The sequence below is a fragment of the Homo sapiens genome, chromosome 2 (genome assembly GCF_000001405.40).
Source record: "Homo sapiens chromosome 2, GRCh38.p14 Primary Assembly".
NCBI classification, from domain to species: Eukaryota; Metazoa; Chordata; class Mammalia; order Primates; family Hominidae; genus Homo; species Homo sapiens.
In genome coordinates, this window is record NC_000002.12 from 20,400,398 (window position 1) to 20,426,393 (window position 25,996).

Below are 25,996 nucleotides of genomic sequence, written 5' to 3' on the forward strand. Positions count from 1 at the left end.
AGGGGCTGGTTGCCAGAGGTAGCAACCATGTGATTAGAGGGGTGGAACTTTCCGCTCCAGGCACCCCACCTCCAGGGATAGGAGAGGGGATGGGAATTGAGCCTGATCACCAGTGGCCAGTGATTGACTCAATCATGTTTACATAATGGAAACTCCATAAAAACCCTAAATGAGGGGGTTTGGAGAGCTTCCAGGCATGGAGGTGCTGGGAGGGTGGTGTATCTGGAAAGGGCAGGGAAGCTCCATGCCTCTTTCCCACCTTTCCCTGTGTACCTCTTCATCTGGACTGTTCATTTGTATCTTTTATAATACACTAGTAATCATAAGTTAGGAGCTGGGAGTGGTAGTGCACACCTGTAGTCTCAGCTACTCACGAGGCTGAGGTGGAAGGATCCCTTGAATTCAGGAGTTTGAGACTAGCCTGGGTGACAGAGTGAGACCCTGTCTCTACAAAATTTAAGTAAATAAATAAAAGCACACATAAATAAGGTGTTTTCTTGAGTTCTGTGAGTCATTAAAGCAGATTATCAAACACGAGGAGGTGGCTGTGGAAACCCCTGATTTTTTGCCAAGTTGGTCAGAAGTAGCAGAGGCCCGGGACTTGTGTAACTGAGCATGTAATGTGTGGCGTCTGTGCCCACTGTGTGTGGATAATATCACAATTGAATTGTAGGACATCCAGTTGCTGTCAGGAGAGTTGGAGAATTGCTTGGTGTGGAAAATCCACACATTTGATGTTGTGAGTAGAGATATACAGGGTTTTCTTTTATTTTATTGTTTTAAACCACTGAGAGTTGGAGGGTGTTACTGCAGCATAATCTAGTTAGTTCATCCCAACTGTTCATTTCTCCTCTGTTCAGGAGTCTTAGAAGTGCCTAGAGCTGTTGACCAGCTGGTGGATGTCAGCTGAGGAGTTAGTGATGGAGCCACACTTGATGGAAACTCATCCTCTCCCTGGTCTCCTCCCTCACACTTCATTGATTCCTCATCCATCTTCTCTGCCCTTCATCTGGCACCACTCTGCCTTTTTCTTCCTTTCCACAGGCACAGTCTTACATTACTTCTGGGAGAGGAAGAACTGATTCTACAAATATGCATACAGGAAATTTTCTCTAGTGAGGGATTTTAAATCATTGTTCCTGCTTAGGCATGGGCTGAAGGAGAAAACACTGCCACCCAGCCCTTGGGGCACCATTGAGAGAGGAGGCAAACACACAGAAAAAACAAGCAGATTACTATTTCCATCCAAGTGCTAACCAGGCCCGACTCTGCTTAGTTTCCAAGATCAGACGAGATCGGGCACGTTCAGGGTGGTATGGCCGTAGGCCAGATTATTACTTCGACCTACAACCCTGGTGCCCACAGATAAACACACACAACAGCCCTTTTTAAATAGAAAATGGATGATATTCTGGATTTTTCTTTTTCTTTTCTTTTTTTTTTTTTTTTTTTTGAGATGGAGTCTCGCTCTGTTGCCAGGTTCTGGCGTGCCATGGCACGATCTCGGCTCACTGCAACCTCTGCCTCCCAGGTTCAAGCGATGCCTCTTGCCTCAGCCTCCCGAGTAGCTGGGACTACAGGTGCACACCACCACGCCTGGCTAATTTTTTGTATTTCTGTAGAGACGGGGTTTCACAACGTTGGCCAGGATGGTCTCCGTCTCCTGACCTTGTGATCTGCCTGCCTCGGCCTCCCAAAGTGCTGGGATTACAGGCGTATTCTGGATTTTTCTAAAAATTCCCCAACAATTTATCTGGGGCTGGGTGTGGCGGCTCACACCTATGATCCTAGCACTTTGGGAGGCCAAAGCAGGAGCTTGAGCCCAGGAGTTCAAGACTAGCCTGGGCAACATAGTGGGACCTCTCTACAAAAAAAATTAAAAAATCTATAAAAACAACACAAAACCCACAATTTATCTGGAAGGGCTTTTTATATGATACTTTTTATATTAGCACATACCTTCTTTTTAATGACTATTTAGTATTATTGGCCTATTCTTCAAAAGTATTTGGTTGTTTTCTCTTTATTATAAGCAAAGCTGAAGGGGCCATCTTGGTATAGAGGAAAGGGATGAACAGACCACAGACATCCTCTTTCTTCCCTGAATCATCACTGTTCACCTTGTTTTAAGTTATGGTCTTCCTCCTGAATTCATTTTTCATGATTTTTTTTCCTATAAATTAAATACATGTTTTAGATATAGTGAGGTGTATCTAAGCTATAGTTATTGTGACACATACTGAGGGCTCTATTAACTGTTGATTTGCCTATAGAATAGAGATGCTCTTCAATTATTTTTTTAAATTACGTAAACTCTAAGTTAAAATTTTTGTGAAATGAATCTTCCAGATCGGGTGCGGTGGTTTACGCCTGTAATCCTAGCACTTTGGGAGGCTGAGGTGGGTGAATCACTTGAGGCCAGGAGTTCTAGACTAGCCTGGCTAACATGGTGAAACTGCATCTCTACAAAAAAATACAAAAACTAGCCGGGCGTGGTGGCACCTGTAGTCCCAGCTGCTTGGGAGGCTGAGGCAGGAGAATCACTTGAACCCAGGAGGCGGAGGTTGTAGGGAGCTGTGATCATGCTACTGCACTCCAGCCCGGGTAACAGAGCCAGACTCTATCTCAAAACAAAACAAACAACAACAAAAACACACACACACAAAACAAAGAAAATAAGAGCTTCTAACTTAATTTTTTTTTTCACTGACCCCACAATCTATCATGTAATGAGCAATCGAGTATAAATCATTTGGGAATCACTAAAATAGCTAAATACATTGAAGAAAAAAATAGCATTTAAAACAACATTTTTATTTTAGGTTTAGGGGTACATTTGAGGGTTTGTTACATAGACAGACACCTGTCACGGGGCTTTGGTGTACATATTATTACATCATCCAGGTATCAAGCTCAGTACCTGATAGTTACCTGTTCTGCTCCTCTCCCTCCTGCCACCCTCCCGCCTTGAGTAAGCCCCAGTATCTGTTGTTTCCTTCTCTGTGTCCATAAGTTCTTATCATTTAGCTCCCTAAAAATAGCATTTTGTAACCTGAATATATTCCCTTAGAAAACATCTTTTTTGGGAATAAAGCTTAGGTTTGTGTACCTATGCTTTTTATTTTAGAATAAAAAATGTTATACAATTTTTAAAGGTAGAAAATTATGTGATATAATCTTTTTTGAAGGTCAGAATTTTATTGCTTTGGTCCAAAGGCTTCTTCAGGCCCTTCAGAAAGAAGGCCATACGATGTTATCTTTAAAACATAACACAAAAGCAAAACAGTAAACGATGTGAATTTCTGACTGTAATAGTAAACAGCATCTTTACAGCTAGTTTCCCATTAGAGGTGATCAGAACAGAATATTACCAATGCCAGGTGACTCTGTTTCAGAGATGAAAAGGCAGAGAAACACTTACATCATGAGACAAGAACCAGATGGAAAGAGCTACTTGGCAGGGTTAAAAGAAAAACTTTAGACAAATTAGATTTAACAGAGTTTAACTGAGCAAGAAAAAGAAAAAAAAATGATTCATGAATCTGGCAGTCCTGAGAATCGGAACAGATTCAGAGAGACTTCAGGGCTGCTGTATGGGCAGATAAATTTATGGCAGAAGAAGAAAAGCAAAGGACAGAAAATAGAAGTGAGGTAGAGAAACAGCTGCATTGGTTACAGCACAGTATTCGCCTTATTTGAACATGGTCTGAACAGCTGGCCGCCTGTGATTGACTAATGCATGGCTGTTGTGATTGGTTGAGACTTAGCTATTGTTACAGAAGCTCACCCCTAAATTAGGTTTTCAGTTTGTTTAATACTAAGTTAGTTTGCAGTTCATACATAAGAACTTGAGTGGCTGGGTGCAGTGGCTCACGCCTATAATCCCAGCACTTTGGGAGGCTGAGGCGGGTGGATTATTTGAAGTCAGAAGTTCAAGACCAGCCTGGGCAACATGGTGAAACCCCGTCTCTACTAAAAATACAAAAATTAGCCAGGTGTGGTGGTACACGCCTGTAATCCCAGCTACTCGAGAGGCTGAGGCAGGAGAATTGCTTGAACCTGGAAGGTGGAGGTTGCAGTGAGCCAAGATCGCGCCATTGCACTCTAGCCTGGGTGACTGAGTGAGACTCCATCTCAAAAAAAAAAAAAAAAAAAAGAAAACATTTAAGACTTGAGATGATGCCGTGCCCCAGGGGATATATTAGTCTGTTCTCACACTGCTAAAAGGACATACCCAAGACTGGGTAATTTATAAAGGAAAGAAGTTTAAGGGACTCACAGCTCCACATGGCTGGGGAGGCCTCACAAACATGTAGGAAGATGAAGGAAGAGCAAAGGGACATCTTACATGGTGGTAGGCAAGAAAGCTTGTGAGGGAGAACATGAGACTTGTTCACTATCAATGGAATAGCATGGGAAAAACCTGCCCCTATGATTCAATTACCTTCCGCCAGGTTCCTCTCACAACATGTGGGGATTATAACAACTCAAGGTGAGATTTGGGTGGGAACACAGAGCCAAACCATATCAAGGGACTATTATGACGATCAAGAAAATAATAGGAAAAGACCAGCTGGTTGCCGTGGTATGAGCCTGTAGTCCCAGTTACTTGAGAGGCTGAGGCAGGAGGATCTTTTAAGCCCAGGAGTTTGAATCCAGCCTGGGCAGCATACACAGACACTACCTCTTAAAACAAACAAGCAAACAAACAAACAAGTCCAAAGTGTACTCCTCAACAAGTTCTAAGAAATGAACTCAACGAACCTAACCAAATCAAACAGGTCAAAGTTCAGACAATATAGGCAGTTTAACAATATTTGACTCTAGTTGGGCATAGTCCTTGGTGCAGGATTTGGTGATGATTAAGAACTATAGTTTGCTGTAAAATGGCCTGATTTTAAAAGGCCATTTTTGTTGTTACCTGGTAACACAAGTCATAATAACCTGGAGACCTAAGGGAAGAAATTTATACTTTAGAAAACCTTGGAAAAAGCCAAGCTTGCCATTCACCATTCGGGATGCTTACAAACCAACTGTCAGTTGCTCCCATAGACATGTCATCTGTTCCTTTCTCTTGAGAGATTTCCTTAACGTATCTGGTGGCAGTATCTTAGAAAACAGCAGTATCAGCCCCCTTTTAAATATAGCTTTCTGTAATAAAAAAATCAAGGGAGAAATAGGTAAAACATTCAGTTTTGCTCAATAGCAAACAAAAGCCCCCAACTTAAATAAAAAGGGAACTTAAGCTACGTGATGTTCCATTGAGTGGTTTTGTTGAACGCATATGTTATTTATTTTCAGAGTGACTTCTACTTGTTTGAAACCCTAGGAAGTCTGATTCGCTGCAAAATCCAAGATTTTTCTTAATTTATGGATTAGCTTTAAATTCCATTCTTCTGGTACCTCACTACTGCTGAAAGTGGCCCCCCAGGAATCCCACTGGACTCTTTCCTCAGTGGAAACTAGCTTATCTTCATCAGTTTCAAAGTTGCTAATTTTGATTATCGACCATTTTGGCCTTTGATCATAGAAGCTACTACAGGAACATTCAGAGGAAGCTATTTGAAAGGCAGAAGGGAGCCAGCCAAAAAGCAAGATCCAAACCAGTGAGGAGGCAGAACAGAATGACCATACCGCACAGACCCAGTATACGCCCCCAGCGATTGGAAAAGAGGGCCACTTAGTTGTGCGGGAGCAAGGGTCGGTTGAGTTTGTTCACCCATGAATCCGCATACCTCCTACACAAGTTCCTGTGAACATTTTACTTTTTGTAGTCCTTTAATAACATGCTATAAGGGTGTATAACCACCTTTAGTAAAAAAGGATCCTACTGACTTTAATCTGGTTACATGATACAAACAATACCTGTGCCCACATAGGTAATTCCCAGGTCTTCTGTGCATGATGCCTGGAAGCACAGTATTCTTTTTCAGGCATTACTTAGACAGGTTTTCTATATTTGGTAGTGATCATTTTATTAATGGGAAAAGTTAGAGTGTTGTTTCGTTTCTTTCTTTCTTTCTTTCTTTCTTTTTTTTTTTTTTTTTTTTTTTTTGAGACAGAGTCTTGCTCTGTCTCCCAGGCTGGAGTGCAGTGGCATGATCTCAGCTCGCTGCAACCCCCGCCTCCCGGGATCAAGTGATCCTCTGCCTCAGCCTCCCTAGTAGCTGGGATTACAGGCACATGCCACCACACCTGGCTAATTTTTGTATTTTTAGTAGAGACGGGGTTTCGCCATGTTGGCCAGGCTGGTCTCGAACTCATGGCCTCAAGTGATCCGCCCCCCCCGTCGGCCTCCCAAAGTGTTGGGATTACAGGCATGAGCCACCGTGCTTGACCTAGAGTGTTGCTTCTAGCAAGTGCAGTGAAGTAAGTAGCAGTCATCTTTAAAATATCAAGGATAGCTTTCCATTCTTCCTTTGAAATTTCAGAGTGACTCTCATTGGGAACATGGAGAGGCACTGACATCAGTGAAACTGTTTTCTGACCTTGGCATTAGCCCACAAACCCAACAATTGCTCGGCTTTTCTTTTTTCTCTTCTTTTCTTTTCCCTTCTTTCCTTCCTTCCTTCCCTCCTTCCTTCCTTTTTCTTTTTCTTTTTTTGGAGACAAGGTCTTGCCATATTGCCCAGGCTGTACTTAAACTCCTAAATTCAAGCGTCCACCTGTCTCAGCCTCCTGAGGAGCTGGGACTACAGGCATGCACCATTGTACCCAGCCATGATCTGGCTTTGTGCTAGAGCATAAGCTAGAGTTGAATCCATCCACTTCTTATGGTCCCATGGATTTTACCACAGGCAAAAGGAAAGGATTAGGACAGAAGGAAATGAGGAAAAAAGAAAAAGCACAAAGCTTTAATGACGGCATAAAAGTCTTGATCTGTTATCTTAGGAAAGCTGTTCAAGTCTAGGATGTCATCTGCTTCTGGAAGAAATTTTTCTATTAATAGCTTTATCTTAAAGTCTTCAACAGGTATACAGTTCTAAAAGTCTGAAGCGGTTCTTTTGAGTTGTGAGATGTGAACCCAAGTTTCAAAGCCCTGAAGTTTCACTAAAGTATGGGTGGTGGAAGAACTTGGTACAGTTCCTTTCAAGGGGGTTCAAGAGCGGTGTTCCTCTGATGTTGTTTTCAGAAGGCCCAATCACCAGGTCCTAGATCATGAATGGTTTGATTGTCCTCAGTCAGTGGATCACAAAAAACTTCCTTTACCTAGGGAAGATACGCTTTGGCATAACGCATTAAAGCCTTGCAGTATTTAGTCAAACTAAATGGAGAGTGGGAGATGCATGAAGTTCTATTATTAGGGGCATAGGCCTTCCAGTGACTATTTCATAGGAGGTCAACTTATGGTTTCCAGTGGGAGTGGATCAGGTTGCCATTAAAGCTAATAGTAGTACATTTTGGCCAAGTGACTCAGTTCACTTTTCCAATTTCGGTTTTGAGATGCCATTTGTTTTTTTTTTTTTTTTTTAGACGGAGTCTTGCTCTATCACCAGGCTGGAGTGCAGTAGTGCAAACTCTGCTCACTGCAACCTCTGCCTCCGGAGTTCAAGCGATTCTCCTGCCTCAGCCTCCCAAGTAGCTGGGATTACAGGTGTCTGCCACCACACCTGGCTAATTTTTGTATTTTTAGTAGAGACAGGGTTTCACCATGTTGGCCAGGATGGTCTTGATCTCCTGACCTTGTGATCTGCCTGCTTTGGCCTCCCAAAGTGCTGGGATTACAGGTGTGAGCCACTGCACCTGGCCTGCCATTTGTTCTTTCAATCTTTCCAGAAGACTGAGTGTGATAGACACAATGGTAGTGCCAATGTGTCTATAAAACCTTTTTAAACTGCATTATAACTTGCCCCATAAAGTGAGTTTACCTATCACTGGAGATTTCTCTAAGAATGCCTCATAAAGGAAACACATTTTCTAATAATTTATTAGCTATTGCTACAGTATTGGCCTTCCTACATAGAAAAGCCCCTAACCAACCAGGATCCACCCACTTCAGTGGCATAGCTTAAAGTGTACTATGATCGTGCCTTTGAATGGCAACTGCACTCCAGCTTGGGAAACATAGCAAGACCCCATCTCTTAAAACAAAAAAAGAGTATCGTTTCACTTCTTTTAAATTTGTTGAGACTTGTTTTGTGAACTAACATGTGGTCTATCCTAGAAAATGTTTTGTATTCTCTTACCAAATTGGTTATGTTATTATTATATAGTGACCTAGTCTCTTTCTACAGTTTTTTTATTTAAAGTTTGTTTTTTTCTGATATAATTACTACTGGTTGCTTTTGACTTTTGTTTGCATGGAATATCTTTTTCCATTCCTTCACTTTCAATCTATATGTGTCTATGCAGGTAAAGTGAGTTTTTTTGTAGGCAGCATATAGTTGGATCATGTAAAAAATCTATTCAGCCAGTCTATATCTTTTAAGTGGGGAATTTAATCCATTTACATTCAAGGTTGTTATTGATAGGTGAGGATTTATTCTTATCATTTTCTATATTGTTTTCTGATTGTTTTGTACATCCTTTGTTCCTTTCTTCCTCTTATTTTTATTGCAGTTTGGTGATTTTCTATAGTGGTAACAGTTGATTCTAACAGTTGACTCCTTTCTCTTTCTCATTTGTGCATCTCCTCTACCAGTGAGTTTTACACACTTTTGTGTGTTTTCATGATGGTAGATATCATTTTTTCATTTCCAGATGTAGGACTCCTTTAAACATTTATTGTAGGGCCAGCATAGTGGTGATTAATTCCCTTAGTTTTTGCTTTTTTGGGAGAAACTTTATTTCTTCCTCATTTCTGCAGGATAGCTTTGCTGGGTATAGTATTCTTGGTTGGCAATTTTTTTTTTCTACCAGAAAAGAAACTGTATCATCCCATTCTCTCCTGGACTACAAGGTTGTCTGCAGAGAAATCTGCTTCAGTCTTGTATATGATGACACTTTTCTCTTACTGTTTTTAGAATTCTTTTGTCTTTGACTTAAGATAGTTTGACTACAATGTACCTTAGAGGGGATCTTTTTGAGTTGAATCTATTTGGGGACCTTTGAGCTTCTTGGGTCTGGATGTTCATATTTGTTCCCAGACTTGGGAAGTTTTCAGCTATTATTTAATTAAACAAATTTTCTACACCTTTTATCTTCTCCTTCTGGTATTCTCATAAAATGCATATTTGTTTACTTAATGCTATCATATAAATCTTGTAGGTTTTCTACATTCTTTTTCATTTTAACTTCTTTTTCTGGATAATTTCAAATGACCTATCTTCAAGTTAAGGGATTCTTTCTTCTGCTTGATCAAGTCTGCTGTTGAAACACTCTATTGTATTTTTTTATTTCACTCATTGAATTCTTTAGCTGCAAGATTTCTGTTTGGTTCTTTTTTATGATTTTCATCTCTTTTTTGAGTTTCTCATGTGTATTGCGAATTGTTTTCCTAATTTCATCGAATCATCTATATTTTCTTGTATCTCATTGAGTTTCCTAAAGATCATTATTTTGGATTCTTTTATCCCAATAGTTTGTTGATTTCCTTTTCATTGGGGTCTGTTGGTAGATTGTTACGTTACTTTAGTGGTGTCATATTTCTGTATCCTTTCATGATTCTTTTGTCCTTACATTGACGTCTGTGCATCTGGTGGAAAAATCAGCTCTTCCAAACTTCCTAGTGTGGCTTTTGTAGAGAAGGACTTTCACTTGCAGTTTTGGGTTTTAGTGTGCCAGTTGGGAAAGGTGTGATGACTCTAGTTCTAGATAGGTGCAGTGGTTTAGCTTCTGTGGAGTTTCTTCAGCTGCGTTCTATGACAGCAATAGCTGTGGGTACCTTAGTAGCCTGTGCTGTAGAAGTCTGTGGCAGCAGCAGTGTAGGTTGTGAATGTCCTTGGTGTCAAGGGCTTTTAGGGTCCTCCTAGTCTCATTTTCTCCACAATGGAGAGACTTAGCTGAGGAGATCACTCTTAGTATCAGGTCTGACATAGTCTACAGGCAGGTGCAGAGGCACTGGGTTCTAGGTGCATGTGCTCTGAGTGGCTGTAGGGTCAGGTACTAGGCTCAGGGTCTCACAAACCTATTGTGGCACCCAGGTCTTGGGGTGCAGGTTTGTTTTCTGAGGCAGAGTTGGATGTAGATTGCCTATAGTGTCAGGATATCTGACTTACAGTAACTTCCTGGAAGCTCAGGTCCAGGCGGGCAAGTTATGCCTGTGATTCTACCCCTGGGGGGAAGGGCATAGCACCGGCCTGACTCCAGGGAAGAAGAGTTGCTCTGGCGGTATGGGCCTGGGGAGTAGAGTAAAGCTGCAATTCAGGAACCAGAGTCAATGAGCTCAGTGACAACTCAGGTTCCAGAGGACGAAGCACCATGTAGTAGTGACTCTAGACCCTAGGATGGTGGGGCTTGGCAGTATCCCAGACTCTGTGAGGCCAGGGGCAACGGCAGCAAGGGCTCCAGAATGGTAAAGCACATCTGTCATTTGGGCTCTGGAGGGGCAGGGAACAACACAGAGATGACTCCACTCCTCAGGGAAAGGACTGTCTCAGCAGCTCAGGCTCTAAGGAGCTAGTCTCACTGCAGGAAAACAGGCTACTAAAGTTGTTTGGCCTGTAGAATAGGGTGTCTCTGCTCAGCCACTGATCTGTTTCCCTGGGATGTAGGGTACCACATCAGCTCAACCCTGGGATATGCAGCTGTTCAGCTTGACCAAGGCACATATTCTCCAGGGGACTATGTGTCATTTCAGCTCAAGCCTGGGGTGATGGGAGCATAACTGTTCTGGGAAGCCTAGGCACTGTCTCCCTGAGATGCAGGGCATCACTTCAGCTTAGGTACTGGGGTGTGTGACCCCTCCAGGGGGCTGGGGCACCATTTCCTGGGATGTGGGACACTGCTTTAACTTAGGCACTGGGGAGATGTGACTTCTTTATGTGGCCCAGCTACTGTTTTCCCAGGAGGAAGGTTACTGCTTCAATTCTGGCCCAAGGGGCTGGAGGGAGGGGTAGGTGGAACAGCTGCATTTCTGCTTAGCTTCCTTGGGAAGAGTATAACAGCTGCTTGCAGCTCAGCATGGGGCTGTTGGGTCAGTGGCCAGGGATAGTTCATTGTCAGCTTAGCCTCAGGGATAAAGGGAAGCCATGGCTACTACTTACGCCTGCAGCATAATACTCCAGCTTTAGTCCCAGTTCCAAGATGACATAGTGCAGTAGCTGCATGGGCCACACGGGGGCGAGCACAGTATCAACTACCTTCTCTGGGAGGAAGCACAGCTATGTGAACTCCAGGCAGCTCCTTGAGCTGGGCTTAGTGCCTGTGATGAATGCAAGGAACTCCAGTGGTGAGGTTTGTAGGTGTCAAAGGTGGTGATGAGGGTTGCTGGGATCCTCATGCTTAACTCCTCACCATAGAAAGAAGTTCCTCCTGGTTTTCAGCTGACCCCAGCTGGGAGATGCAGTGGTGGAGGCTTGGCATTTCCTTCCATTCTTTTTTTTTTTTTTTTTTTTGAGACAGAGTCTCGCTCTGTCGCCCAGGCTGGAGTGCAGTGGCGTGATCTCCGCTCACTGCAGGCTCCGCCTCCTGGGTTCACGCCATTCTCCTGCCTCAGCCTCCCGAGTAGCTGGGACCACAGGTGCCCGCCACCACGCCCGGCTAATTTTTTGTATTTTTAGTAGGGACGGGGTTTCACCATGTTAGCCAGGATGGTCTCGATCTCCTGAGCTCGTGATCAGCCTCCCAAAGTGCTGGGATTACAGGCATGAGCCACCGCACCTGGCCTCCTTCCATCCTTTATGTGTCCATCTCAAGTTTCTGAGCTCACTGGGGTTTCTGTTACTCCTCTGATGCACTCCAGCATGCTCTCTCAGTTGTTTTCACTAACATGTAGTTGTTTATTCGTTGTTCTGGCCGTCTTCACGAAGGGGACCAGTGCTAGGGTATATTAGTCGGCCATCTTGCTCTGGACTCTGGTTTTTCAGCTGGTAGGATCGTAGAATTACCAGCACTGGTACATACAATTGTCTAAGTCCTTGTTTAATTAAATCTTCCACAATTGGTGAGAGCCCTTGAAATGCTTTGGGTTTTAGTGACTATTGGAGTAATTTAGGCAAAGGTTTAGAATAATCTTTTGGATTTTTGTAGGTTCCACATTTTCAATCCTTCCTGTATCAGTTGAGGAAGAGGCCCATAAACATACAGGTATTTTAGAAACATCAGGGGCATTACAGTCCTGATTTTTAATCTTATCAATTTCTGCCCATAGAGAGCATAACAATTCTGGTGCAGAAGAGTCAGGAAACTCTAAGATTATTTCTCTTTCTGAGAAGAATATATACATGCTTTTAGCTTTGGAGAATGTTCCATGTGCTGATGAATAGAATGTATATTCTGCAGTTGTTGGGTAGAATGTTCTGCAAATGTCTGTTAAGTCCATTTGTTGTAGGGTATAGTATAAGTCCATTGTTTCTTTGTTGACTTTCTGTCTTGATGACCTGTCTAGTGCTGTCAGTGGAGTATTAAAGTCCCTCACTATTGTGTTGCTGTATATCTCATTTCTTAGGTCTAGTAGTAATTGTTTTATAAATTTGGGAGCTTTCGTGTTTGGTGCATGTATATTTAGAATTGTGATATTTTTCTATTGGACTAGTCCTGTTATCATTATATAATGTTCCTCTTTGTCTTTTTTAACCGCTGTTGCTTTAAAGTTTCTTTTGTCTGATATAAGAATAGCTACTCCTGCTCGCTTTTGGGGTCCATTTGCATGGAGTATCTTTTTCCACTCCTTTACCTTAAGTTTATGTGAGTCTTTACGTGCTAGGTGAGTCTCCCAAAGACAGCAGAAACTTGGTTGGTAAATTCTTATCCATTCTACCATTCTGTATCTTTTAAGTGGAGCATTTAGGCTGTTTACATTCAATGTTAGCATTGGGATGTGAGGTACTATTCTATTCATTGTGCTATTCGTTGCCTGAATACTTTGGTTTTTTTTCATTGTTATTGTTTCACTGTTATTGTTATATAGGTCTGTGAGATTTATGCTTTAAGGAGGTTCTATTTATGCTTTAAGGAGGTTCTATTTATGCTTTAAGGAGGTTCTATCTTAAAGATTTATGCTTTAAGGAGGTGTTTTGAGGATTTGTTTCAAGATTTAGAGCTCCTTTTAGCAGTTCTTGCAGTGCTGGCTTGATAGTGGCTAATTTTCTCAGCATTTGTTTGTCTGGAAAAGACTGTATCTTTCCTTCATTTATGTAGCTTATTTTCACTGTATATAAAATTCTTGGCTGATAATTGTTTTGTTTAAGGAAGCTAAAAATAGGACCCCAATCCCTTCTAGCTTGTAGGGTTTCTGCTGAGAAATCTGCTATTTATCTGATAGGTTTTCCTTTATAGGTTACCTGATGCTTTTGCCTCATAGCTCTTAAGATTCTTTCCTTCATATTGACTTTAGATAATCTGATGACTATGTGCCTAAGCAATGATATATATTTTTTTCTTTTTTTGTAGACAGAGTTTTGCTCTTTCACTTAGGTTGGAATGCAGTGGTGCGATCTTGGCTCACTGCAACCTCTGCTCCCTGGGTTCAAGCAATTCTCTTGCCTCAGCCTCCCAAGTAGCTGGGATTATAGGTGCCAGCCATCATGCCCAGCTAATTTTTATATTTTTAGTAGAGATGGAGTTTCATCATATTGGCCAAGCTGGTCTTGAACTCCTCACCTCAGGTGATCCACCCGCCTCAGCCTCCCAAAGTGCTAGGATTACAGGCATGAGCCACTGCGCCTGGCCTAGTGATGATCTTTTTGTGATGAATTTCCCAGGTGTTCTTTGAGCTTCTTGTATTTGGGTGTCTAGATCTCTAGCAAGGCTGGGGGAGTTTTCCTTGATTATTCCTTCAAATATGTTTTCCAAACTTTTAGATTTTTCTTCTTCCTTGGGAACACCAAGGAATTATTCTTAGGTTTGGGCATTTAACATAGTCCCAAACTTCTTGGAGGCTTTGTTCATTTTTTAAAATTCTTTTTTTTTTTTTTTTGTATTTGATGGATTCGGTTAATTTGAAAGCCTTGTCTTTGAGCTCTGAAGTTCTTTCTTCTGCTTGCTCAATTCTATTGCTGAGACTTTCTAGTGTATTTTGCATTTTTCTAAGTGTGTCATTGATTTTCAGAAGTTGTGATTGTTTTTTATTTATGCTATCTATTTCATTGAAGAATTTTTATTTTATATCCTGCATCATATTTTTGATTTCTTTAAGTTGGACTTCACCTTTCTTTGGTGCCTTCTTGATTAGCTTAATAATCAACATTCTGAATTCTTTTTCTGGCAATTCAGATATTTCATCTTGGTTTGGATCCATTGCTGGTGAGCTGGTTTGATCTTTTGTGGGTGCTAAAGAACCTTGTTTTTTCATATTACCAGAATTGTTTTTCTGGTTCCTTTTCATTTGGGTTGACTATGTCAGAGGGAAGATCTGGGACTCAAGGCCTGCTGTTCAGATTCTTTTGTCCCATGGGATGCCCCCTTGATGCAGTGTTCTCCCCCTTCCCCTAGGAATGAGGCTTCCTGAGGGCTGAACTGCAGTGATTGCTTTTGCTCTTCTGGTTCTAACCACCCAGTGGAGCTACCGGGCTCTGGGCTGGCACTGGGGAGTGTCTGCAGAGTCCTGTGATGTGATCCTGTCTCAGCCATAGATACCAGCACCTGCTCCAGTGGAGGCAGCAGGGCAGTGACGTGGACTCTGTGTAGGTCGTTTGTTGTGTTTTTCTTTAGTGCACTGGTTTTGTGTTGGTTGGCCAGGAGGTGGGCTTTCTTTTTTTTTTTTTTTTTTTTGTGAGAGGGAGTCTCGCTCTGTCGCCCAGGCTGGAGTGCAGTGGCGGGATCTCGGCTCACTACGAGCTCCGCCTCCCGGGTTCACGCCATTCTGTTGCCTCAGCCTCCTGAGTAGCTGGGACTACAGGCGCCCGCCACTACGCCTGGCTAATTTTTTGTATTTTTAGTAGAGACGGGGTTTCACCGTGTTAGCCAGGATGGTCTCGATCTCCTGACCTCGTGATCCGCCCGCCTCGGCCTCCCGAGGTGGGGCTTTCAAGAGCACATCAGCTGCAATCGTATAGGGAGGATGTAAACTTGCCCTAGAGACACCTGGTTAAGTATGCAGGTTTCTCAGGCAGTGGGCAGGGCCATAGAGCTCCCAAAGAGATTATGATCTTTGTCTTCTGCTACCAGCTGGGTGGAGAAAGACCACGAGGTGGGGGCAGGGATAGGCATGTCTGAGCTCAGACTCTCCTTGGGTGGGGCATGCTGTGGCTGTTGTGGGAGATGGGGGTGTGGTTCCCAGTCCAATGGATTTGTATTCCCATGGGGAGCATGTCTGCCTCTCCTGAGTCATACTGGTCGCCAGGGAAGTGGGGGAAAGCCAGCAATCACAGACCTCACCCCACTCCCATGCAGCCTGCAGTCCTAAAGGCTGGTCTCACTCCCACTGTGGCCCCCCAACAGCATGGAGTCTATTAACAGACAGGTGGTGACCAGGGCTGAGAACTTGCCCTAGACCACCAGCTTCCCCATTGAGAAAGCAAGCAGACTCACAGTTTTCCGGCATCTCAGGGGCCCCGCAGCAGTGATCTAGTTCCTTCTAAGGGTCTGTGGATTCTCTGAGCTTTTCTGGTATGGTCCTGCAGTAGTTCTTGGAGAAAAAGTTCACGAGGTGAGTCTCCTCTGAGCCGGAGCTGCAAGCTAGTCCTGCCTTCTATCCGCCATCTTGCCCGCATTCTTTTAGCTTTGAAAGTAAGTCTTGCCCTAGGAAGTTTACTGGAGTAGTATCCCACAGTACAAAAGTATGTTTTTTCTGAAAATGGCCCCAAAGTCCATTGAACGAGTTCAAACATAGGAACCTCTTGAACTTCATTCAAAACCCCCAGCAAAAAACATAACGTTTTTACTCTCAGCGATTTGTTGATCTATTAAAGTGGCTTTATGGTAGATAGGAGGCTTTGGTATCCACCAGGATTGTACAAGATTTCCTTTATTCTAACTCTTGTTTCTCTATGTTTATTTAGAGGTGTTATGGGCAGCACTTTATCAGGGGACTCTCTTAGAGTCTGGTCAATTATCACGAGAGCTAAAATCTCTTGGGCTCTCTCTAGCCTAAAGGAAAGAGGCTTATTGGTGGACTGTCAGAAAAATGGAGAATTTCTTTTCCAGTGTCTCTTTTCTAGTCATTTGCAATAAAGGGAGATACTTTGGGACCTCTTGTTTCAGGACCTCTTGGTTGAAAAAACTTCACAGGTTGCAGCTTTTTGAAGGTTGAAGGGACATAGGCTTGTTAATCTTTGGGTTTTTTCTTCCTGTAGAGCCCTTTCAAAATGTTCAGCTACAGCCACCAATTCAGTCATATCTGTCACTTCCCATCTAGGTTTATGTTTTTTAATTAAACTGCTAAGTTCAGGACAAAATCTGCTTATAAATAGAACAGTTTATGCCGTTTCAGTCTCTGCAGGAAATGCTCCTTGCCATATGTTGAGCCCAGAATGTTTCTGAAATAGTGTTTCTAAGTGAGTTCTATAATGTGAAACTGGTTCATCTTTTTTTTTTCTTGTCTGCAGGATTGCATCATGGACCAATCAATTTTTGGTGAATGTGATTGGTCCATCATGCAAACCAGAAGACAAAAATGTGTGAAAAATCTTAGAAATTGAATCTAGAAGGGGTTCAGCATTTTTTCATGCTCCTTTTGGCCCTTCCCATGAGGAGGTCTTGGAGGGGTCTTTAATATCCTCCTCATGTGTGTTCCATTCTGTTGCTGGCATCCATTTGCCAGGTCCCAATATCATGTGAATAAATTGGTAAAGGTCAAGGAGTCCTGGATCCTCCATTCCTAGGAAGATTCTAAATTCCTCAGTAAATTTTTGAGGGTTTCTCCTTGCATCAGGGAAGTCTTTTACAATGGCTCTAAGCTCAATTTTAGATCATGGAGTTAAAGTGGTTACAGCAGGAAGGCCTGGCTGATCAGAGGTCTTACTTTGTAAAGACATCTGTTTGCCTTCTCTTTTGTCAATATTCTTCAGGGTGAAAGGGTAATTTAGCAAGGTTAGTGGACTCAGAATATTTAGTTGGGGATGGATAAAGAGAATAAACAGTTGTGGTTAGTTCAGTAAGAACATAGTCCTTGTTTCTTTTCAAAGTATCTTACCAGTGGAAAGTTTAAAAATTAATTTATTATAGGCCGGGCGTGGTGGCTCACGCCTGTAATCCCAACAATTTGGGAGGCTGAGGCAGGTGGATCACCTGAGGTCGGGAGTTTGAGACCAGTCTGACCAACATGGTGAAACCCCATCTCTACTAAAAATATAAAATTAGCCAGGCATGGTGGCATGCACCTGTAATCCCAGCCCACTAGGGAGGCTGAGGCAGGAGAATTGCTTGAACCCGGAAGGCAGAGGTTGTGGTGAACTGAGATCGTGCCACTGCACTCCATCCAGCCTGGGCAACAAAAGCAAAACTCCATCTCAAAAAAACAACAACAAAAATAATTTATTGTAATTTATTGTTATTACTATTAATGATTATTTTGAGACAGGATCTCACTCTGTTGCTCAGACTGGAGTGTAGTGGTGCAATCTTGGCTCACTGAAGCCTCAACCTCCTGGGCTCAAGCAATCTTCCCACCTCAGCCTCCCAAGTAGCTAGGACTACAGGTGTAAACCACTATACCTGGCTAATTTTGTTTATGTTTTTGTAGAGATGAGGTCTCACTATGTTGCCCATGCTGGTCTCGAACTCCTGGACTCAAGCAATTTTCCCACCTTGACCTTCCAAAGTGCTGGGATTACAGACATGAGCCACTGTGCTCGGCCTTAGTCCTCTTTTATGATGTCCTTAGTCTGTTGTTTAAGATTTTCACTTGCTTTTTGCAAAGAATCTTTTACGGATGCAATTTTTGATTTGTTCAGTCTTTTAGATCTTCCTATACTAATTAAAGGATACATACTATTGTTTTTATGTGGGATTCTGATTCCTTTTTTCTCATATGACTTGCAAATAAATAATTTTAACCAAATTAAAACTTCCCCATTATCTTTTCTAAGTTGTCTCAGTGAGGTTAACCCATTTTTTCTGAAAATGCACATGTTCTGGGCCCATAATTTTATACATAAAAGTAGCTGGAGTCCCAGAATGTGGAGTCCCAGGCTCTTTGAATTGAGATGAACTCATTACCAAAAAGGTACCCACCTGAGGCCCTCAGCCTCTAACTGAATCTAATCCGGTTGATTATTGAATCCAATCCAATCCCAAACCCAGCCCAGTCCAAAGATTGCTCAAACAAACTTGGAGAGCTGAGAACACAAATTCTTGGATCTTGGAATCTGAGAGAAAATTCAGCCACGACCTCCAGTTACAAACAAGAAATCAGTGGGCACAGCTGGCTTCGCAGGTATCTGGTCTGGTTCCCTGGTGTTCCTGGGGGTTGCTGAAGTTTTACTCTGTATTCTCACTTCTGACACCAAATCTGTTAAAAGAAAAACTTTAGACATATTAAATTTAACAGAGTTTAATTGAAAAAAAAAAGAAAAGAAAAGAAAAAAAACAACCAAAATGATTTCTGAATTTGATAGCCCCCAGAATCAGAATAGATTCAGAGACTCCAGGGCTGCTACATGGTCAGATAAGATTTATGGACAGAAAAAGGAAGGTGACATACAGGAATTGTGAGCTACAGAAACAGCTGGGTTAGTTACAGCTCAGCGTTTTCCTCATTGGTACAAGGTCTGAACAGCTGGCCGCCTGCGACTGGCTGAGACTCAGCCATTGTTACAGAAGCATACTGCTGAGTTGAGTTTTCAGTTTGTTTAGGTACTAAGTTAGCTTGTTGTTCCTAAGTAAGAACTCAAGTATGTGAGTACAGAGGCTTTCTCAGGCCAAATTTAGTTTGATTTAACAGAAGTGAGGAGCAACCAGCCTCATTCTCACTGTGGCTGGGTGTGGGCATGTCCTGGGCCCTCCCACAGCTCTAGGAATTGCCTGAGAGACAGACGAAGTGGACAAAGTCGCTGACAGACCTGAGTTACTGCCTTGGTCCTGGTGACCCTGCTCCAGGCAGTCCATCTCTGTCTGCGATCCCGGCACCACTCCCGGTGGTTCATTATTGCCCAGAGGGGCCTCTGGAGTGCAAGCCTCAAACAGGGAGACAGACCTGGGAAGACTCCATGAGGCTCCACAGCAACCAGACAGTTCTAAAGTCAGCGTCCCTGGCTTCCAGCTCCAACACTGGACATTCCCCCGTGGCTCCCCTGCCTGGGAATCTGGTGGAGGCTGATTGGGCAGCCCAGGGGATGCCGGTGGGGTGCGGGGAGGAAAGGCTGCAAGGGCAGCTTGGCTGGATCATGGAGGCCCGGGTGAGGCATTCGGACTTACTCTAAGGGCAAGAGAGTGAGAGACTGCAGCTTGGAGAGGACAGCGGTGCTTTGGAAGATGAATCTGGCTCGTTGTGCTGTAAGAAAAGGAGGGAGGAGAGCAGCTTTCTAGGTGACCTGGGGCTGTGACAGTAGGTATGAGGGACGTGAGGGGTCTGAGACAAGCAGTGAGGGTGCACTGCCCAGCCTTCCTGCTTGTGGGTTAGGAGCTGTCGGTGAGGATTCTAAGGGTGTGACCCTTGATGATGAGGTGAATGTGTTATGGCTCACAGGAACAGGGAAGATGGGAGGAGGAGTGGGCTTACAGCAAAGAGAAGCGTTTTATTTTATTCAGCTTGGCCGTGAGACTTCTCTGTGGCGATAGGTGAGTTTGCCAAATCTGGAGCTCGAGAACCAAGTCAAGGCTGTAGCTGCATATTTAGGAGTAAAGGTAGAAATTGAAGTAATGGGAGGGAGTAAGAGTGTTGAAGATGGAAGTTTTTCATGCCAGAAATAAGCTGTTTAAGGAAATGACCAATCTCCTAGAAATCTCCAAGGCCTATGTTAAAACCATCCCTTACCCCTGCAAAGATACCATATGCACGTACCTCTAACATTGCCTGGTTTATGTCATGTGCACCTAACCATTGCCCTAGCAGGTGGGCCTCTGTACAAAGGGAAGTAAATACTTGTTCCTGTAGAACCTCTGGTTTTGGATAATATAAATATTAACTTTGGCCAGGCGCAGTGGCTCACACCTGTAATCCCAGCACTTTGGGAGGCCGAGGCGGGGGGGATCACCTGAGGTCGGAAGTTCGAGACCAGCCTGGCCAATATGGTGAAACCCCCGTCTCTACTAAAAATACAAAAAATTAGCAGGGCGTGGTGGCAGGTGCCTGTAATCCCAGCTGCCTGGGAGACTGAGGCAGGAGAATCACTTGAACCCAGGAGGGGGAGGTTGCAGTGAGCCAAGATGGTGCTACTGTACTCCAGCCTGGGCGCGGCAGAGCAAGACTCCATCTCAAAAATAAATGAGTAAATAGATATTAACTTTCTAGTACTTCGGGCACATCTGCTTGTAATGCCCCTGAGGTGACTATGGTAGCAGTCCGTCCCAAGCTTCTTGGCAATGCCAGTGGCTGGCAATGTGTCACATGCCTGGAATGACCAGAGAATAAGTGTCTGATGGTCTGCTCGGTAGTCACTGGAAGCCACCCCCATGAGGTGGTGACAAAAGAGGACTTTGGAAGGCTCTGACAGTGCATTGGAGCTGGGGCTTCTTGGGTATTTTTTTTTTTTTTGAGACGGAGTTTTGCTTTTGTTGTCCAGGCTGGAATGCAATGGCATGATCTCAGTTCACTGCAACCTCTGCCTCCCAGATTCAAGCGATTCTCCTGTCTCAGCCTCCTAAGTTGCTGGGATTACAGGTATGTGCCACCATGCCTGGCTAATTTTATATTTTTAGTGGAGATGGGGTTTCTCCATGTTGGTCAGGCTGATCTTGAACTCCCGACCTCAGGTGATCTGCCTGCCTTGGCCTCCCAAAGTGCTGGGATTACAGGTGTGAACCACCGTGCCTGGCCTGCTTCTTGAGTGTTTTTGTTGTGAGTTTTAATCCCTACAGTGAAAAAGAACAGCTCCCTCTTGTTGGAGTGGCAGGGGTTGGCAATGCTCCCTTGCCTTTAGAGCGGAAGTCCATCCCCATGAGCTGGAGGCAGTGAAAGGTCAACCCCCAAGTCCATGGGTAGTCCCTTGGCAGCTGGGCGGAAACCAGCGAAGAGGCTGATATTTTGGAATGGCCGACGGCTCTATGGGTCCCAGGAAGATGAGCTAATTTGCTCACAGCGGGGCCACCAGGTCTGCTGCTTGCCTCGGTGGCTTCAGATGCTCTTTGAGCAGGCTGTGGCTCCCAGAGCTGAATAGGAGTGTAGGACTCACTCCCTTGGATGGACTCACAGAGACTGAAGTGCAAGCCAGGTGCCATATGACGAATTCCCAGAGAAGTGGAGCTGCCCAAGGGAGGGCACATGCGCTCGGCCTCAGCGGCATTAGTATGCCTTGATGGGCTCCTCAGCTGTCCGTTTCTGTCCATAACCTGGACGTCAGTGTGACTCCTCTCCCCCACCTCCCTGTCTCCCTCCCTTCCTCCTTCCCTCACTTATCCCCCTCTCCCATCTCTCCATCCATCCTCCCCCTCCACCATCCCCAGGCCCAGTGGAGGGTGACAGCTCACAGCCTGGGTCCTCCGTATCCATGCTGTGTTCTTTGTGCCCCGCCCTCCATCCGGGAGCAGCACTAGAAGGAAGGTCCTCAGCTCTTTAGGGACATTCCTGTCCTGGAGCCAAGGCCAGCACTGGCAGGGGTCCACGAACCTTGGCTGACTAGTCCTGTGGTCAGCCTTACCCTGTGGAGGCACAGAGCCAGAGGCCCTTGCTTCTGACTGGCTGCATTCCCATTGCACATGTGGGAATTGGGAAAGGCCGGGGACCTGCTCAGGCTCGCCTGGATGGCACTTCCCCAGCTCTCTGATGGGTTGTGGGGACACGGCACTTCTGGTCCAGGGAAGTGGCCCAGGACTTCCCATATCTGGGGCACAATGCTCCCATCCCACACTGGAGAATCAAGATTGCACTGCACGGAGGAATTTTTAAAGAATTTTCCTAATATGGGAGTGAGACCTTGATCCATGATGGCTCCCAGATACTCAGAGGATAGAGCCAGCCCCTTGCTGTCAGCACCAACTTCCATCCTTAGAGCTGCCGCCTCTCCTAACCCCCCACTCAGAGTCCTGGCCCTGAGTCTGGCTTCCCCGGGCTGGGAGCCACGATGATCTCTGAAAACACCATCAGTGCTGGGAACTCAGAGGAGGTTTTGGGTGCTTTAGTTCCATGCATCTGCACCAGAGCTCCCTGGGCCCAGGCCCCACCTGATGGGCCCCATTCTCCCACAACATGGGGTCTTGGTTCTGAACCTGCCCTGGGGCTGGCCCCTGCCCCTAGCTGCCTCTTTCTGGTCCCCAGCCCTGCACAGGAAGGCCATCTGCATACCCGACCTTACCTATCATCCATCGGGAAGCTTTCCGATGCTACATGCTCACTGGTTTAAACTGTTGCTCCCCCCACAGCAGGCATCTCAGCCTCCAGCTGTTTGTCAGCTGCTTCACATGGCTTCCAGCTGCTGAGGCTGAAGAAAGCTGGAGGCTTCAGTGGATGCTTCTGCGGCAAAAAGCTTGCTGGGGAGAAGCAAGCAAGCACAAAAGAGCAAGTGCCTTCTCTCCTCCTGACCTCAGTCTCCTAGTGCCCCCTATTGGAAGAACCTGCCAGAACCAGCTGACCTGGGGACATGTAATTTGCACAGATCAAGCCCCAGTAGCGCCAACCTGACAAGTGGAGATCTGGAGCCGAGACTGAATAGCCAATGGACAGCACAACGCCCTGCCCTCCTTTCCTTGCTTGGCAAGCTCTTGCCCCTGCTCCAGGCCTTAGCTCAGGTGTCATTTCTTCCAGGCAGCTCTCTCTGGACCAGTTGTCCCACTGTGGCTTCCCACAGAGACATACACACGCTTCTATCCAGCACAGGATAGAAATGATCTCTTCATGCTTCTATCTCCCTTACTTGGCAATGAGCTTCTGGAGAAAAAGCGACTTTGTCTGTCAAGTTTTGTAATTCTCAGGGCTTACTGCATAGCTCTGTACATCTTTGTTGAGCCATAGCTCCTGCAGTTGTCAGCTCTCCCCGGAAGAAGGTTGAGGAGTAGGTGGAGCAGGATGGTTTTTCTTCAGGCTGTCTCTCATCCTGGGATTCCCAGGCACTGCCCCTTCATTCTCCGACAATAATAATGATTAACATTTGTTGAACCCCTGGCCGGCACCAGGCACAATTGTTCATACTTCCCATGTATCAACTCATTTAGTTTTCACAGATTTATGAACTGAGGTGCAGAGAAGTTAAGCGACTTGCCCAACGTTACACAGTGAGAAAATGGCAGAACCAGAACTTGAATCCAGGTAATCTGGGTTCCAGAGCCTGTGCCCTTAGCCCCTATGTTATTTTGTCCAAGGAGGATAGGAATCAGGAAAATGTGGCAAACTTATAATGCTGATGCCAACAATCAAAATAAGAAGCTTCCAGAAGAAGCTGCATAAGATAGTGTCTCACAGCCATGGGTGGACATGTGACACAATTCAGGGCCCTCCCTGTGGTTGTTCAAGTTGGTAGTGACAGAGCAGAGAAGCTCCTCTTAGGAGGTGAAGTTGGCTCCAGGCTTGCGGAAGAAGAGACTGACTTGCAGAGAGATGCAGGGGTGAGAGGGAATGACAGCGCCTCCTCTCCCTGCCCTGGGTCTTGGGCCTCTGAGCTGGTGAATCCCCCTTTTGCATTGCCTCATTTAATGTCAGTTTCTCACATTTGTGACTAAAGAGGCCTAACTAATACCAACTTATAATTTACAAAGTCCTGTCACAGGTCATTGATTCTTATGCCAGCATGAGGGGGCAGGCAGGGGGTCATATCCCCATTTCCAGAAGTGAAAACTGAGGCTTGGAACAGTTAAGTGACTTGCCAAGCAGCAAGTCAGTGGCAGAGCTGGCTGAGAAGCTGGTGCTTGGCCCCTCAGGCCAGGAGTCTGTCCTCTCCTCCGCCTTGTGCTCTCATGGGAGCTATGGAGAGGGGGTCTGGGTACCACCACCTGCCTCAGTACTCGTGGCTCGGAGCTTTGACCCGGCTGTGCTTCCTCTCATTCCTCTTGCTTTGTCTTGGGGCCTATGGGGCTGGGGGAAACAGGCACAGAGCTGGAGATGGCAGATTCTAGTACTACACACTCCACACCCCGACTTCCCATCCATGGAGCTCACAGGGAGAGGTTCCTGCAGCAGCTACAAGAACACCTCCCCCCCATACCAGCAACCAGGAAATCTCCCAGACAAACTGTGTACCCGGACTGTGGAGGCCACCCACCCCGCACCTCACCCACTCCTGGTACCTCCAGGGCCTGTAGGGAAGCTCCCCGCCCCCAAACCAGCTTTGGGGCTCTCTCTCTGGCCTGGGCCCCAGCTTCGTGGGGGAAGTGGGTGTAGCAGCCTCCTCTGGCCTGGGGGCTGGGAAACCTCAGGCACCTCTGCCTCCGCAGCTGGTAATCCAGCTTGGGCTTGCCAGAGGCCAGTCAGCTCCTCTTCTGAATCTGGATTAGAATCTTCTCGACCCTGGCAGGAAGAGCAGGAGGCCTGCGGTTGGAGGGCATTTCCTGTTTACTGCTGGTGTCAGTGTTGGTCTGAGAGGTCCACCCTTCTGTGGTTAAGTGAGCCCGGACATCTCCCACCCTCCCTTCAGGCCGACTCACATCCCTCGCCTGGTCCTTGTGAGAAGGTCTCTGCTTCCTCTGGTTCAGGGGAGCAGGTTACCATCTCTGGGTTTGCTCTCCTCCCCTTGCCTGGGCTGAAATGAGTCTTTCTAATGACAGCAGCAGTGGCCTGCCCTGTTGCCAAATTTAGCAAAAAAAAAGAAGAAGAAAGAAAAAAGAGAAAAAGGATGCAGGTTAAATTTGAATTTCAGATAAATAGCAAATAATGTTTTAGTGTTAGTAGTTCCTGTGTATTATCTGCGGATCCTAAATGAAGCTGGAGCCCAGGGAGATGAAGTGTCTTTTGGGATCTGATGATGAGCAACACAGGATTCCAGCCACTCAGCCGAAGACTCTATGCCCCCAACAGTCTGCCAGCCAGTCAAGCTTGGCCACTGTGGCTGGCTGTGTCTATCCTGCTGTGACTCCTGTCCTGTGATCATAGGTGTTCCCCCTGTAGGTTGTGAGATGGGGAGATAATGATTTAACCCCACCTCAAAGAGAGGCAGACACTCCCAAGCAGTGATTTTCAAAGTTTGGTCACACAGCAGCAGCAGCAGCAGCAGCAGCAGCATCCGTGATAATTAATTTTATGAGTCAACCTGACTGGGCGATGGGGTGCCTGGATATCTGGCCAAATGTTATTCTAGGTGTCTCTGTGAAGATGTTTCTGGATGATGTTAACATGATGTTAACTTTTTTTTTTTTTTAAAGACAGCTCACTGCAACCTCCACTTCCCAGGTTCAAGCGATTCTCGCGCTTCAGCCTGCTGAGTAGCTGGGACTACAGACACACACTACCATGCTCAGCTAATTTTTTGTATTTTTAGTAGAGAAGGGTTTCACCATGTTACCCAGGCTGGTCTTGAACTCCTGGCCTCAGGCAGCCTGCCTCCTCAGCCTTCCAAAGTGCTAGGATCATAGGCGTGAGCCACCACATCTGGCTGATGTTAACATTTGAAATGTCAGGCTGAATAAAAATTGTCCTCCCCAGTGTGGGTGGGCGCCATCCAATCAGTTGAAGGCCTGAATAGAACAAAGGGCTGACCCTGCCACAAGTAAGGGAGAATGCCTCCTGCTTGACTGCTTTTGAGCTGGGACATCATTTTTTTTTTAAGTTCTCAGACTCAAACTGAAACATTAGCTCCTCCTAGGTCTTCAGCCTGCAGACTTCTAGACTGGAACTACACCAGTAACTCTCCTGGGTCTCCATCTTCCTGACTACAGATTTAGGATTTGTCAGCCTCCATAATTGTGAGCCAATTTTTTTCTGGAAAGCCTGGCT

At 45.2% G+C, this 25,996-nt stretch overlaps 1 long non-coding RNA gene and 1 pseudogene across 1 annotated transcript, besides 4 other annotated features; both read right to left on the reverse strand.

Moving 5' to 3' along the window:
- RNA5SP86 (RNA, 5S ribosomal pseudogene 86) lies at positions 1,230–1,327 on the reverse strand (annotated as a pseudogene).
- LOC105373465 (uncharacterized) lies at positions 2,794–24,548 on the reverse strand. Its single transcript, XR_001739317.2, has 5 exons — positions 24,355–24,548; positions 22,431–24,142; positions 18,214–18,490; positions 15,571–15,667; positions 2,794–5,151 (listed from the first exon to the last, which is right to left on the reverse strand). It is a non-coding gene; the product is annotated as an uncharacterized LOC105373465 (long non-coding RNA).
- Positions 11,091–11,385: an enhancer, noted in NCBI's record as "tiled region #5478; K562 Activating DNase matched - State 12:CtcfO". NCBI's record gives its function as "activates a minimal TATA promoter and a strong SV40 promoter by Sharpr-MPRA in K562 cells {active_cell/tissue: K562}" and the evidence as "EXISTENCE:reporter gene assay evidence [ECO:0000049][PMID:27701403]".
- Positions 21,796–22,309: an enhancer, noted in NCBI's record as "H3K4me1 hESC enhancer chr2:20621954-20622467 (GRCh37/hg19 assembly coordinates)". NCBI's record gives its function as "activates a minimal SCP1, AML or CMV promoter by ChIP-STARR-seq in primed H9 embryonic stem cells {active_cell/tissue: H9 hESC(primed)}" and the evidence as "EXISTENCE:reporter gene assay evidence [ECO:0000049][PMID:30033119]".
- Positions 24,443–24,602: an enhancer, noted in NCBI's record as "active region_15388". NCBI's record gives its function as "activates an Ori minimal core promoter by ATAC-STARR-seq in GM12878 lymphoblastoid cells {active_cell/tissue: GM12878}" and the evidence as "EXISTENCE:reporter gene assay evidence [ECO:0000049][PMID:35858748]".
- Positions 24,663–24,712: an enhancer, noted in NCBI's record as "active region_15389". NCBI's record gives its function as "activates an Ori minimal core promoter by ATAC-STARR-seq in GM12878 lymphoblastoid cells {active_cell/tissue: GM12878}" and the evidence as "EXISTENCE:reporter gene assay evidence [ECO:0000049][PMID:35858748]".